This window comes from Homo sapiens, chromosome 2, assembly GCF_000001405.40.
Source record: "Homo sapiens chromosome 2, GRCh38.p14 Primary Assembly".
NCBI lineage: Eukaryota > Metazoa > Chordata > Mammalia > Primates > Hominidae > Homo > Homo sapiens.
Genome location: NC_000002.12, coordinates 112,555,980 through 112,571,838, shown reverse-complemented (window position 1 = coordinate 112,571,838; position 15,859 = coordinate 112,555,980). Strand labels below are relative to the sequence as shown.

Below are 15,859 nucleotides of genomic sequence, written 5' to 3'. Positions count from 1 at the left end.
TGGGTGAATTTCCAGGTTTTTAAGTATTTATGTATTTATTTTTGCCTTATGGCCCAGTGTGGCAGCTACAACTTAGATAGAAACCCACAATCTTACTGGCTTGAAGAACCAAGAAATAGAGTTCTGAGCATGACAACAATTGGGAAGGGGGAACATTTCAGAAATGAGAGAACCACAAAGGGAGACCCTTAAATTCAGCATATAAATTGGGTCCGAATCTTTGGTGGACTCCTGAACTATGCATGCATGGGACAGATCACAGCAGCCCACCTAAGGCTGAAGAATGTACTTCAACTGCCACGTTCACCAAGTTAAGTACCAGTGAAAACTAAAAACCAATCCTCTTCCCCTGGAGAATTTTTGGTGACATGCACTGAACCAGGTGATGGACTGTGTATTAAGAAGGAAAGACATAAAATGAAAAAAATTAAAATGTAATTGAAGGCCAAACACCACACTAAAAACAAACAAAACCAATCCTCTTCAGAGGACCCTAACAGGATCCAGGGTTTAAAACATACTCCTCGCAATGTTCATAATACAATCCGATATTACTGGGCATACAAAGAAATGGTGAAACTTGACTTATACTCAAAGAGACTGATACTAAGATGACCCAGACATTGGAATCTGCAGATAATGATTTTACAACACCCATCATATAAAACTATGTTCAAAATATAAAGGAAAACATGCCCACAATGAATGAAGATAAGAAATCTTAGAGAAGAAAGAAACTATAAAAAAAGAAACAAGTCAGGCCAGGCGCAATGGCTCATGCCTGTAATCCCAGCACTTTGGGAGGCTGAGGCAGGCAGATCATTTGAGGTCAGGAGTTTGAGACCAGCCTGGCCAACATGATAAAACCCTGCCTCTACTAAAAATACAAAAAATTAGCTGGGCATGGTGGCACATGCCTGTAATCTCAGCTACTCAGGAGGTAGAGGCAGGAAAATTGCTTGAACTGGGGAGGCAGAGGTTGCAGTGAGCCAAGATCGTGCCACTGCACTCCAGCCTGGGTGACAGAGCGATACCCTGTCTCAAAAAAAAAAAAAAGAAAAAAAAAAGAAACAAGTAGAAGTGCTGGACTTGAAAAATACAGGCATGCACTGCATAACAATGTTTTAGTCAATGCAGGATGGCATATATACTATGGTGATCCCATATTTTTACTGTACCTTTTCTATGTTTAGCTACACAAATCCTTGCCATTGTCTTACAACTGTAGACAGTACACAGTACAGTTACATGCCACCCAGGTTTGTAGCCTAGGAGCAACAGGCTATACCATATACTAGGTGTGTAGTAGTCTCTGCCATCTAGGTTTGTGTAAGTTCACTCTATGATGTTCACACTACGACAAAATCACATATGACTCACTTCTTCGAAGGTATCCCTGTCGTTAAGGGCACATGACTGTAAGCAAAAATTCAGTAGAAGACAGAATAAAAAGTGACTGTGATAATAGGTCAATAAAAATAATCCAATCTGGGCCAGGTGCAGTGGCTCACACCTGTAACCCCAGCATTTTGGGAGGCTGAGGCAGGCAGATCACTTCAGGTCAGGAGTTTGAGACCAGCCAGGCCAACATGGTGAAACCGTATCTCTACTAAAACACAAAAATTAGCTGGGCATGGTGGTGTGTGCCTGTAATCCCAGCTCCTCAGGAGGCTGAGGCAGGAGAATTTATTGAACATGGGAGGCAGAGGTTGCAGTGAGCCGAGATTGTACCACTGCACTCCAGTCTGGGCAACAAAGTGAGACTCCATCTCGGGAAAAAAAAAAAAAGATCCAATCTGAAGAAAATAAAGAAAAAAGAGAACAGAAACTCAATGTCTTATGGAACAATATCAAAAGGTTTAAATATATGAATAACTGATAGAAGAGGAGGAAAGAGAGAAAAGGATAGGAGCAATGTTTTTAAAAATAATGACAGAAGAGTTTAGCAATTTAATTAAACTGAAAAAAAACAAAATTTGAGGCCGGGCGCAGTGGCTCACGCCTGTAATACAGCACTTTGGGAGGCCAAAGTGGGCAGGTCACCTGAGGTCAGGAGTTCGAGACCAGCCTTGCCAACATGGTGAAACCCCGTCTCTACTAAAAATACAAAAATTAGCTGGGTGTGGTGGTGAGTCCCTGTAGACCCAGCTACTTGGAAGGCTGAAGCAGGAGAATCACTTGAACCCAGGAGACAGAGGTTGCAGTAAGCCGAGATCACACCACTGCACTCCAGCCTAGGCGACAGAGCGAGACTCTGTCTCAAAAAAAAAAAAAAAGAAACACACTATATTCAGAAGACTGCTGCCTTCTAACTAGAAATGACAGAGACTAAGAAGAGACAGTGTAACAACAACTTTTAAGTGTTGGAAGAAAAATAACTGTCAACTCAGAATTGTATATCCAGTGAAAGATTCCTTCAAGTGAAGCAAAATAAAGACATTTTCAGATAAATGAAAACAAAGAGAATTTGTGGCCAGCAACCTGCACTATAAAAAAATGCTAAAGGAAGATTATCAGGCTGAAGGAAAATTGTATACAATGAAAACTTGAATCTTGCAGCAGGAATGAAGAGGACTGGAAGTGATAAATATGCGGGTGACTATAATTGCTTGTATTCTTCAAAAAATCAAATAATAAGACCTCAGGCACACCCAAATCTATGGACATTCTATACCTTTTTCTTCAAAAATGTCAATGTCAAAGACAAAGAATGTTTAAAGATCTGTCATAAATTACAGGAAACTAAATAGACATGCCAACTAAATACAATGAGTGATCCTGGGCTGGTTGCTTGTGGCACAGAAAAAAGAAAAACTTGCCATAAACTGTATTTTTGGAACAAATGGTCAGCATATGTAAATAAGGACAATAAAAGAGTGTGCTAGTATCAAGTTTACTTTCCTGATTGTGACTGTAACATCATCCCTCTTCCTTACCCATCTGGCATTGGTACATGTTCCGTGGACTCTGGTTGTGATCAGAGAAAGGGATGAAGTTGGCAATCACACTCAGCAGGCTGTGTGGAAAGAGTTCCTGGTGTGTGGTAACTCCAGCAAAAACTTCATCCTCAAAGATAGCGACATTCATGAAGATCTGGAAGAGCAGATGTCCAAGGCACAAAATAACTGCAACTGGTTACACATTTACTCTTACCATTTCTCAGAGTTCAGTACTCAAAGACTCAAGAGAAAACCATCCCCACCCAGCATCATGAGTGCTGAAGGGATCAACTGGGAAGCACAGGGAAGCGACCAGTTAGAAATACCACTTGCTTTACGTATCTCACTCTAAAACTACCCCAGACCAATTGTGAAGGGGAATAGGAAGAAAAATTTTTAAGTAGCACAAAGCCTATAATTTTGCAACTGTAAATATGTAGGCAAAGACTGAGTGTGAATCTAATGGAATGTTTTCACTTCACGGCTGAGGCAGAGCCAGGTACAAAGGAGTTCTGGGAGCTAGATAAGATGGGAGGCAGGTAATGTGACCACCAGCCCTCTCTCAGGTTCTGTGGAGTGAGATCAGACATGGAAATTGCTCTGTGCTGATCATAGAGGAGGTGGAAAGTCTGACTTTCTTTCAAATGTCCAACTGTTGTTGTAACATTAACAACCCTTTTAAAAAAGGAAGAGTTAAGTCTCTGAAAGTTGTATACTATACAAACAAGCACATACACTCATCCATCACACATATGTATTTACCTGTTCCATAGTTCCAATTAGCTCTTCTTTGCCCAATGCTAAGTTCTGCACAGGCCGTACCAGTCTACAAGGAGTGGTAAAAAGGAACAATCCTGGGTACAGACTTGGTTTTCCTGTCATGGGTATAAGGACCACTTCCATCCAGGGAGGAATTCTTTTCTCTCTCAACACCTGTTTTTAACAAAAACAGAGTTTAACAAACCTGTCCCAAGGCCATGGCTGTCGCTGCCAGTCTTATGCCCCATGGAATACCACTCATCCACACTCAGCCATGGTAAAAGCCCTACTTCCTTGGGTGCTCACCCCAGCTAGTAGGCAAATCACTAACTACTGAGGCTAAGGATAAAGCACACCATGAATGCACGTGTCGATACACTAAAGGAAATTCTGTCCTCTGTGATCTAAAATACAGTAGATTACTGGTTTTATTTGTAAATTTAATAAACCAAAAACTCATGGGTGGGCCGGGGGTGGCTTATACCTGTAATCCCAGCACTTTAGGAGGCCAAAGTGGGTGGATCACTTGAGCCCAGAGGTTCAAGACCAGCCTGGGCAACATGATGAAACCCCGTCTCTACAAAAATTAAAAAATTACCTGAGTGTGGTGGTACGTGCCTGTAGTCCCAGCTAATCGGGAGGCTGAGGTGGGAGGATCACTTGAGCCCAGGAGGTTGAGGCTGCAGTGAGCCATGATCATGCCACTGCACTCCAGCCTGGGTGACAGAGTGACCCTGTCTCAAAAACAAAACAAAAAAACTCCAACAAACTCCTGGGTGAAAGGAGAAATAAAAACCTAAATTACAGAAACCTGAAAACAACAACAACAACAACAACAACAACAAACCCATGTGTCAGAACTCATGGGGATTCACAGCTAGATGCATTATCATTAAAAATGAGAGAATGTTTGGTGGAGGGGGACACGGGGAGATGTTGGTCAAAGAGTATAAAGCTTCAGTTATGCAACAAAATTAAGTTTCTGGAGATCTCATGTACAGCATGTGACTATAGTTAAGAATACTATATTGCATGCTTGAAATTTACTAAGAGAGCAGATCTTAAGTGTCCTCATCCTCCGATGCTCCACAATGCTAACCAAAAAAAAGAGAATGAAAATAAATTCTCTATAAAAAAGATAAAATCTGAGACTAATGAGGCAGGTAGCTCATTTGAGGTCAGGAGTTCGAGACCAGCCGGGGCAACATGGAGAAACCCCATCTCTACTAAAAATATAAAAATTACCCAGGCATGGTGGTGTGCACCTGTAATCCCAGCTACTTGGGAGACCGAGGCAGGAGAATTGCTTGAACATGGGAGGCGGAGGCTGCAGTGAGCCAAGATCACACCACTGCACTGCAGCCTGGGCGACAGAGCGAGACTCTGCCTCAAAAAAAAAAAAAAAGAGGAATGATTGTTTAATGGTTACAGAGTTTCAATTTGTGATGATGAGAAAGTTCTGAAGATGGTGATGACTCCACAACATGAATGTACTTAAAACCCTCAACTGTACACTAGATCAAATCTCATACACTTTCTGAGCATCAAAATAAGTAGTAACAGAATATTCACAAAATTAAACAAGCATCTATAAATCTACGCTAACATAAATAAATGAACAACTAATAGAAAAGAAAGCCCTCCCTTACAGAATAGCAACTAATAAACATAGAAAAAATGCTGGTGGGGGAAAACACCATGTGGTAACCATCACAGTAATATTAACTCAGCAAAGAACCACCAATGGAATAGTAATTCAGCTAATAATCCATCAACTAGTGGGTGAAAATATGAAGAAAGAGGGCTCCACATAGCTTTCAACTATCTCTCCACAAGTTACTTATTACAGAGAAAAACAGAAACTGTACAGTGAATTAACCTAAAGAACACAACTTTGAAGGGATCAGTTAACATGAGTCGTAACAGGACAAACCAACGTCATGTGCTTCCTGAAATATCTTGAATCTCATCATGAGGAAGCAAAACATAAACCTAAATTACAGGAGAGCTGTGATTCCCAGCACTTCGGGAGGCCAAGGCGGGTGGATCAGTTAAGGTCAGGAGACCAGACTGACCCAAATGGTGAAACCCCACCTCTACTAAAAATAAAAAAAATTAGCCGGGCGTGGTGGTACACACCTGTAGTCTCAGCTACTCAGGAGGCTGAGGCACAAGACTCTGACTCAAAAAAATAAAAATAAAAGACTGGTGGTTGGCAGCATCTAGGTGGCTTCAGGATGGGGCTGGTCACCAGAAAGACCAAGCCAGGATTAGAGGATTGGGACTTTCACCCCCACCCTCAACCTCCAGGAAGGGGATAGGGGCTGGAGGTTAAGCTAATCCCCAGTGGCCAATGATTCCATCAGTCATCCTATGTAATAAAGCCTCCATAACAACCCAAAGGACTGGGTCAGGGTAGCCGGGCACAGTGGTACAGTCCTGTGGTCAGGCTGCTTGGCAAGCTGAGGTGGGAGGATCACTTAAGCCTGGGACACTAAGGCTGCAGTGAGCTGTGATTGTGCCACTGCACCCCAGCCTGGGCAACAGAGTGAGACCCGTCTCTCTAAAAAAAAAAAGAAAAGAAAAGAAAAAAAAGAGAGCATTACTGAGACAGCTGGTGGAATCTGAGTATCAACTATGGATCCCACCCACATGACCTTCTCTGATTTTCATAAATGTACTGTGGTTATTGAAGAGAAAGTCCTTGTTCTTAGAAAAAGTACACTAAAATCTTTATGGAAAATGAGACAATGTCTCAATACTGCTCTCAAATGGTTCAAAAGAAAAAAATTGAGTATACAGAAGATAAAGGATGTAGGGCAAAGCATAGCAACTGGTGGATTTGGGTAATGTGTATACAGGGGGGTCCCATGTACTGATTAAACATCTTTGCTCTAAGTGTAAAATTATATCAAATGAGCCACAATTCCACTTATAGGAATATAAGAATTAAAGAATTAAAAGCACAAGGACTTAAATAGATATTTGTACACTCATGTTCATAGCAGCATTATTTGCAATGACCAAAAGGTAGAAACAACCCAAGTGTCCGAAACAGCACTTAAACGAAAACTAAAATTTAGTTTAAACATTTTTTAAAAATAAAAACACAGAACAGAATATAAACCACAAACAGCCTGTTGCCAAAGGATAATTCTTTCAATGGCCATTATCAAAGCAACAAATACTCTTCACTAGGAGGAAATCCCAAAGGTAAGTTATTCAAAGAATGTCATTCTACTTTTTAAAAATATATTTTCAAAACCTAGGAGGCAATGGGGTATAACTTCTACCTTGCATATTTTGAATATTACTGAAATATCTGTATTTTGAGATCCCTTCTATGCCACTAGTATTAAGAAGGGGGAAAAAAGTTAAAATTAGTTAGATAAGCAGACTGAGGTGCCTCAATGAAACTGCCAAAGAATGTATATGGGTCAAATATCTGTCACTGACCCCAACCAATGAGGCCAGTATAAGGCAAGCCTCTGTCACCAGAGGGAATGCACAGGCATTCTGGACATTGTGACCCCCTGACCACTTGATCACTCTAGACCGCCCAGGGGTTAACCCCAAAACTAGAAAGGAACTGAAAAACCTAAGGTCAAGGGATAGGACAATTCACAAAGCCTCAAGCCCACCTTAAAATGACGAAGAGAATCTGCGATGCCTGGAGCAAGATCCTTATCCACCCAGCCAACCATGACACCGTCCAGCAGGACAGGGTAGCACTCACTGTATGATCGGTGGGGAGCTCCATCAATGGGAGTGACCCCTGGTAAAGGAAACAAACAGCACAATCACATCAGAATGCTTCATCCAACATTCCAGATTCCCTCCAGATGGGGTCAACAGCTGCTGTATCAGTTCAGATATCAAATTATCCTTGTCTCTAAAACAGGTACAGGCATTATTTCTTTTAACTGCACTTCAGATATTTCAAGCAGGCTTATCAATGCCATTTTTCCAACGACAAGTGTTCCCTTTGTGTCTCTGTGCTGGCATTTTGGTAATTCTTGCAATATTTCAAATATTATTATTATTATATCTGTTATGGTGATCTGTGATTAGTGATCTCTGATGTTACTACTGGACTTGTAGATGTGGTAGAAATAGCAAGACCACTAGAATTAGAAGTAGAGCCTGAAGCTATGAGTGAATTGCTGCAATCCCATAATCAGACTGAATGGATGAGGAATTGCTTCTTAGAGGATGAGCAAAAAAAATGGGTTTGTTTTATTTTTGAGACAGGGTCTTGCTCTGTCGCTCAGGCTGCAGTGCAGTGGCATGATCATGGCTCACTGCAACCTCAACCTCCCAGATTCAAGCAGTCCTCCCACCTCAGCCTCCCGAGTAGCTGACAGGTGCGTGCCATCATGCTTGGCTAATTTTTAAATTTTTTTTTTGTAGAGACAGGGTCTCCCTGTGTTGCCTAGGCTGGTCTCGAACTCCTGGGCTCAAGCAATCCTCTCGCCTTGGCCTCCCAAAGTGCTGGAATTACAGGCCTAAGCCACTGTGCCCAGCAGAAATGGTTTCTTGAGATGGGATCTCAAGAAATGAGAAGATGCTGTAAACATTGTTGAAATGACAATAAAGGATTTAGATTATTTCATAAACTTAGTTGATAAAACAGCGGCAGGGTTTGAGGGGACTGACTGCAACTTGGAAATAATCTCCTCTGTGGGTAAAATGCTATCAAACAGCATCACATGCTACAGAGAAATCTTTTGTGAAAGGAAGATGCAATTGGTGTCGCAAACTTGTTTTATTTTAAGAAATTGTCACAGGCCAGGCGTGGTGGCTCACGCCTGTAATCCCAGCACTTTGGGAGGCAGAGGCGGGCAGATCACGAGGTCAGGAGATCGAGACCATCCTGGCTAACACGGTGAAACCCCGTCTCTATAAAAAATACAAAAAAATTAGCCGGGCGTGGTGGCGGGCGCCTGTAGTCCCAGCTACTCGGGAGGCTGAGGCAGGAGAATGGCGTGAACCCGGGAGGCAGAGCTTACAGTGAGCCGAGATCACGCCACTGCACTCCAGCCTGGGTGACAGAGCAAGACTCCATTTCAAAAAAAAAAAGAAAAAAAAAAAAGAAAGAAATTGTCACAAGCTGGCCGGGTGCAGTCACTCACACCTGTAATCCCAGCACTTTGGGAGGCCGAGGCAGGCAGATCACCTGAGGTCGAGAGTTCGACACCAACCTGACCAACATGGAAAAACCCCGTCGCTACTAAAAATACAAAAAAAATTATCCGGGCATGATGGTGCATGCCTGTGGTCCCGGCTACTCGCAAGGCTGAGGCAGGAGAATCACTTGAACCTGGGAGGTGGAGGTTGCGGTGAGCCGAGATCGCGCCACTGCACTCCAGCCTGGGCAAGAGCGAAACTCCGTCGCAAAAAAAAAAAAAAAAAGAAAAAAAAGAAATTGTCACAAGCCATCCTAACCTTCAGCAACCACCGCCCAGATCAGTCAGCAGCCAGCAACACTGAGGCAAGACCTTCCACCAGCAAAAAGATTACAACTTACTGAAGGGTCAGATGATTTAATATTTTTTAGCAATAAAGTATTCTTAAAATTGAAATATTTACAGCATAGTGTAAACATAACTTTCATATGCACTGTGGGAAACCGAGAAATTCATGTGGCTCACTTTATTGCAGCGCTCTGGAACCAAACCTGCAATATCTCCGGGGTAAGCCTGAAGGCTTTTGTATTGCTTGTGGAAGTTTAAATTGCTTCAGCAAGGACACACAGGAAAGAAGTAGCAAGGGGACAGGGGCCTATGGGAGGGAGCATTTCACTGTATGTCTTAATATTTTTATTTCTAAGCCACCTAAATGCATTAAATGCATTAACCCCCAAAATGTAATTACAGTTAATCCTCATTATGTGCACATTTGCCTACTTGCTACATTATCTCTGTAACCACAAAATTAATACTGGGGATGCTTTCAAAGTCATTTCAGAACATGCAGCAAAAAACTTTGAGTCCCCCGATGCAGATGCTCCCCGCAGCTGAAGTCAAACAAGACGATGCCATGCCTTCTTGTCAGCTCATACTATAAACAAGTGCCCCTTGCCCAGTCTGTTCACTGGCACGTTTTCAGCATTTTTGTGCTTTTTGTTGGTGTGATTTTTTGTTGGAAGCTGTTTAAATAACAGCTTCCAGGCTTCGCATGGTGGCTCACACCTGCAATCCCAGCACTTTGGGAGGCCAAGGCAGAAGGAATGCTTGAGGCCAGGAGTTCGAGACCAGCCTGGATAACATAGCAAGACCCCATCTCTACAAAACAAACAAACAAACAAACAAACAGAAAAAACAAATTGCCTCCGAGTGCAGCACTGAAGTGCTGCCTAGTGTTCATAAATGCAAAAAGGTGTGATGTGCCTAACAGAAAAACATGTGTGTTAGATAAGCCTATAATTACACTGCTGTTGGCTGAGAATTCAATGTTACCACGTGAACAATATATATTTTTAAAGGGTGTCTTTCAACAGAAACACACAAAAAACAAGGCTACATATTGATCGGCTAACAAAAATGTTGTAACCCGAGGCTTGAAGGAACCTTACCCTGTATTTCCCCTAGGCACAATGGTTCAATATTCACTGGTAACTTTAAAGATGAGTACTACAAATAATGAGAATCAACTGAAATTAAGTAAAAAAAAAAAAGAACACTCTTCCATGAACCATAAATACATTCTGAAGACATCAAGTGTTTGTTAGAGTGTCAGAAGTTACCTGCCTCGTGTTTCATCTGTCACCACAATATGAACATCTCTATCGAAAGTTAGGTAGCGATTCCGTCTTCTTCTCCAGTGCTAGAGCAAAAAACCCTTCCCCATCTCTTTTTCTGCAGTTGGATATACTTTCTACCTCTCCACTTTCTCTTTTCTCCTTTCTACCCTCTCCTGGACTTTGACATTTTGAATCACGAGTAACAAAATTCTTTTCCTCGTAGAGGATAAACCTTCAAATTACGCTGATTACATCTTCTGAATCTTGAGTATTTCTTGATTACTTTCTGTAGGGCCCTCTTCTTACAGGCCACTCTCTCTCTCTTTTTTTTTTTTAGATGGAGTCTCACTCTGTCACCCAGGCTGGAGTGCAGTGGTGCAATCTTGGTTCCCTGCAACCTCCACCTCCTGGATTCAAGTGATTCTACTGCCTCAGCTTCCTGAGTAGCTGGGACCACAGGCACATGCCACCACACCCAGCTAATTTTTTTGTGTGTGTATATTTAGTAGAGATGGGGTTTCACCATGTTGGCCAGGTTGGTCTTAAACTCCTGACCGCAAGTCATCTGCACACCTCGGCTTCCCAAAGTGCTGGGATTACAGGCATGGGCCACCACGCCCGGCCAGGCCACTCTAATTGGGAGAAGTACTTTTAAGCAGAACTTTCTTGAGTCAATGCCCTTCTAGTTGCCTGAGAACACTTATCATCTGATCCCCATGAACTGGAAGTTTTACTGCACACATATTAATCCCACTGAGGACCCTGTCCACAGACCACCAAAGACAGAACATTTCTGTCTCCAAATCATAAATGGAGAACCCTGGGACTAGAAGACTGCAGAGAAGGCTGACATCTTTAGGTATGAAAGTAAATTCAAACCAAGTATCAAGCCAAGCAGAGACAGAGACAGCAGCTTTAAGGTTATCAGGAAAAAAGGTTATATATCTGATGATATCAGGGTAGACTGGGAAACCTCCTTTTAAACTGTCCTCCTGCAAACCAACACTGTTTTCTATTTAGAAATGCAAAGATCCGCCAAGAGATGCAAAAAGAAATGACCCAAAAAACTACTCAATAGCTTCTATACTTCCAATATTAATGACTAGTCTATTTCGAATGCTTTGGCATCATTCTTATTCATTTATTTTTCATTTTGGAGATAGGATCTCACTTTCTCACCCAGTCTAAAGTGCAGCAGCGGCACAATCACAGCTCACTGCAGCCTCAAATCCCTGGGCTCAAGCGATCCTCACTTCCATTATCTTTTTTTTTTTCCCAAAGAAAACAAAGTACCTATAACACTTAGTTTCTCCTGTTTTCACTTTCAAAGAATGCATTCGGCCTTCTACAGAGGAGCCAAGAAAGCAGCCCAACTCCTGCACAGAAGAGTAAAAAAGAATTCTTACAGAAAATCTCTGCTGAATCTCCAAAAGCAGCACAACTTAACAGGTTAAAAACCACGTAACCTTGGCCGGGCGCGGTGGCTCACAACTGTAATCCCAGCACTTTGGGAGGCCGAGGCAGGCACATCACGAGGTCAGGAGATCGAGACCATCCTGGCTAACACGGTGAAACCCTGTCTCTACTAAAAATACAAAAAATTAGCCGGGTGTGGTGGCGGGCGCCTGTAGTTCCAGCTACTCGGGAGGCTGAGGCAGGAGAATGGCGTGAACCTAGGAGGCAGAGCTTGCAGTGAGCCAAGATCGCGCCACTGCACTCCAGCCTGGGCGACATAGCAACACTCCATCTCAAAACAAACAAACAAAAAGAACACAAAAAAACCCACATAACCAAACAAGATGTTTATCACTGTACACTACATACCCAAGTTGCACAGTAAAGCTGGAATAGATGCCGTATACACAAACTGTGTGACAACCTCACATACGGCAGTTAGGTGGTTCATCAGGCCACAGGGCTCCCCGTCTGGGGTATGCACGGGACAAAGGAAGCCCCAGGACTCTGGCAGCAGCCTGCGTACTGTGGTGGTCCTCATCTTGGCAAAATCAGCCCCTCTGTGCACGCAGCGGAAATGGGAGAGGTAGCGTATGAAGTTCAGCTTGTCAGCCACAACACAAAGTCCAGAATCTTGTAGGAGGCCAAGACCTTAATAAAACAAAAGTCATTCAAAAATGGGCCAATCTTTTGAAAAATGGAAATTGTTGAGGCTTTATGACGACAAAACCTCAGAGCACTCTACAGATCATAGAATGAATTATTACAACATTTATTCTCCTAGCTCTGATGAGTGTAAAGAGTTCACAAAAAAATATGTAAAATAATCCCCAGATTTCACAAACTGTATTAGCCCCAACTAGTTCCCTGTCTCCTCTATGACCTCCTTTGTGGGTGAACATTAAATGAGTTAATAAAATAGCAAGTAGTTAAATTCATCTGAGAGAGTCAGATAATAGACAAGCAAGAAAGCAGGCTAATGAAAGAATCGGCAACAGTAACATGGGTTTAAAAAAAAAAAAAAAAGGCGGGGCACAGTGGTTCATGCTATAATCCCAGCACTTTGGGAGGCCAAGGTGGGTGGTTCACCAGAGCTCAAGAGTTCCAGACCAGCCTCAGCAGCATAGCGAAACCCCATCTCTACAAAAAATACAAAAATTAGCCAGGTGTTGTGGCTTATGCCTGTAGTCACAGCTACTCGTGGGGCTGACGTCGGAGGATCACCTGAGCCTGGGAAGTCAAGGCTGCAGTGAGCCATGATCCTGCCACTGCACTTTAGACTGGGTGACAGAGTGAGACCCTGACTCAAAAAAGAAAAAAAAAAAATTCTGAATTCCCAATTACCACTTTTTAAGTTTCTAGGGTCATTCTCTTTTTTGTTGAGACAGGGTCTCACTCTGTCACCAGGCTGGAGTACAGTGGTGCAATCACAGCTCACTGCAGCCTTGACCTCCTAGGATCAAGTGACCCTCCTACCTTGGTCTCCCAAAGTGTTGGGATTACAGGCATGAGCCACCACACCTGGCCTCTCAGGTCACTCTGAGGCAAGGCAAATGGTTTAGAGATGGGCATGTACAGCAACCCATCTAGAGTTCCTGTTAGGTAAGCCTTCCTCAGAGGTCTAAGTGGCCTTTCATTTTCTAGAAGGAAGCAGAGAAAATGTATTCAGTTATCTGAATTAAATTTTAGCTATACAGACACCTTGTCTAAAGCCCTTTAGACCAATAGTTGTCGAAGTCATAGTTATGAGAAATTTACTTTTTTCGTGGGGTTTGCTTTTAAAAAGAACTCTCAGGGACAGGCAAATCTACACTAAGCAACTAATTTGAAAAACATAACTAAAACGATCGATTTAATTTTACCTGTTTTAGAACGCAGATTCCCAGTAGCAAAAAGGTATTCAAATGGTTTTGTAAGGTCTATGCCCATTGTAAAAATCCTCATCAAATTGTCAGTGTTCATGGAAACACTGGTCTTCTGAGCCTTCTTATCAAAAGCTATTTTAATAGACACTAACCAACCTTCCAGTTTTTCCTGAAATAAGGAAAAAAAATTAATATAAAATAGTATGTGAGCCAGGTGTGGTGGCTCACATCTATAATCCCAGGATTGGGTGGATCGCTTGAGACCAAGAGTTCAACATGAGACTGGGCAAAATGGTGAAACAAAACCCTGTCTACAAAAAAATTAGCCAGAGGGGGTGGGGTGAGGGGGTGGGGCGTGCCTGTAGTTCCAGCTACTTGGGAGGCTGAGGCGGAAGGATCGCTTGAGTCCAGGAGCCTAAGGCTTCAGTGAGCCATGACTGTGCCACTGCACTCCAGCCTGGGAAACAGGGCAAGACCCTATTCTCAATAAAATAAAATAGTATGTGTTTCAATTATCACAAACTTCATATTTATTCCCATGTAATCTGTACGATCTTTAACAAACGTCTACTAACATACATCAAAACCAAAAACCTGAAAGAGGGCTTTTCAGGTGCAGAAAGGATAGCTCTTCAATGTGATGCCCTCCTTCACCCATTATACTTGTTATACATCTAAAACCAATCACACGAACTACACAGTCCATCTTAATCTATGCTGCCAACACTAAGTGAAAAGCCTAAAGCAGCCTGCAATTCCAAAATTACAGCTAGACTGGAGGAATGAGTTCTGGTATTCTGCAGCAATGTAGGTTGAATACAGTTAACTATATTTGTTGTATATTTTTTCACTGCAGCCTCAACCTCCTGGGTTCAAGGGATTCTCCTGCCTTAACCTCCTAAGTAGGTGGGACCATAGGTATGTGCCACCATGCCTGGCTAATTTTTAAATTTTTTTTGTAGAGATGGGGGTCTCACTTTGTTGCCTAGGCTGGTCTCAAACTCCTGGGCTCAAGCAATCCTCTTGCCTCAGCTTCCAAAGTGCTGGGATTACAGGCGTGAGCCACCACACCCAGCCTTATTGTATATTTTCAAAAAGCTAGAAGAGGGGATTTCGAATGTTCACAACACAAAAAAATGATACATGTTTGAGGTGATGAATGTGTTAATTACTCTGATTTGATCATTATACATTATTGACATATATGGAAAAATCACTGTATACCCGATAAATATGTACAGTTATTACATGTCAACTAAAAATAAAAGAAAAAAAGACTATACACCATCAGCGCTTTCTATGGGTGGTTCAGAAACCACTGAAAATACCTAAGAGAATGTTTGAGATAGGTTCTCTCCTATATTTGATATTTGGAAGAAAACGTGGAAGATGTACATAGGTCACTCATGTATACCTTTTCCAGCAGGCCCCTGAGTCAACACATTAGCCATTGACTATTGATAATCCACCTCTTCAAACTATCAGTGTTTGAACACTCACACTTGGAAGACCTAACTATTCTTCCAGAAGACAGCACTGGAAGTGACACATTTCATTTCTGCATATTCTCTGGCACTGACACTGCATTTAATATCACTGTGGTGCAGTAATATTAAATTTTTAGTACTTGGAAGGAATAAATTTTGGAGAGGTGTGGGAAGAAGGAATATATTTTATAAAATGTTACAATGAATCTCACAACTGACTACACACTAGTAGGATTTGTAAGTACACTGCTAAAAATCTGTAATGTACAGATAAGGGAATTACCAGGGAGTGAAGGAAGCTGTTAGCTCACCCAACAAGGGTATTAATGTAGGTTTGGACTTTATCAAGTGAAACTAGAGAATCAAGTTTGAGTAGAAGAGCCTGGCATCACTGCTCCACCTCTGCTGGTTGCTGTTTAGATTCCTTTCTTGAGCCTACATCTTCCTGTGTCATAAATGTTTTTATCAGGTGTACACTGAACACTTCATCTTCACAGTCAAGATGGAATAAGAAGCCCTGGATCTTGACAACTGATTTGTTTGTGTTCTTCTCCCTTTTTTTTCATAACTATGTCTACTTCCTTATTTGGGTTTAAAATCAAAACCAGAAAG

At 42.1% G+C, this 15,859-nt stretch overlaps 1 protein-coding gene across 10 annotated transcripts in view, besides 1 other annotated feature; it reads right to left on the bottom strand.

Annotated features, from left to right (window-relative positions):
• The window catches only part of POLR1B (RNA polymerase I subunit B), a 37,783-nt gene that overhangs the window by 7,980 nt on the left and 13,944 nt on the right, over positions 1 to 15,859 (bottom strand). For 8 of the 10 annotated variants that reach the window (NM_001282772.2, NM_001371970.1, NM_001282777.2 and 5 more), the window contains 5 exons: positions 13,758 to 13,929; positions 12,265 to 12,546; positions 7,340 to 7,473; positions 3,702 to 3,872; positions 2,937 to 3,093 (listed from right to left, as the gene is read on the bottom strand). In NM_001282772.2, the coding sequence (NP_001269701.1) occupies positions 2,937 to 3,093; positions 3,702 to 3,872; positions 7,340 to 7,473; positions 12,265 to 12,546; positions 13,758 to 13,929 (916 nt within the window). Of the gene's footprint in view, positions 1 to 2,936; positions 3,094 to 3,701; positions 3,873 to 4,943; positions 5,082 to 7,339; positions 7,474 to 12,264; positions 12,547 to 13,757; positions 13,930 to 15,859 lie in introns of all 10 variants that reach the window. The other 2 variants (NM_001371969.1, NM_001282774.2) reach the window with 2 other exon arrangements.
• Positions 15,561 to 15,761: a silencer, noted in NCBI's record as "peak3820 fragment used in MPRA reporter construct". NCBI's record gives its function as "represses an SCP1 promoter by STARR-seq MPRAs in K562 erythroleukemia cells {active_cell/tissue: K562}" and the evidence as "EXISTENCE:reporter gene assay evidence [ECO:0000049][PMID:32103011]".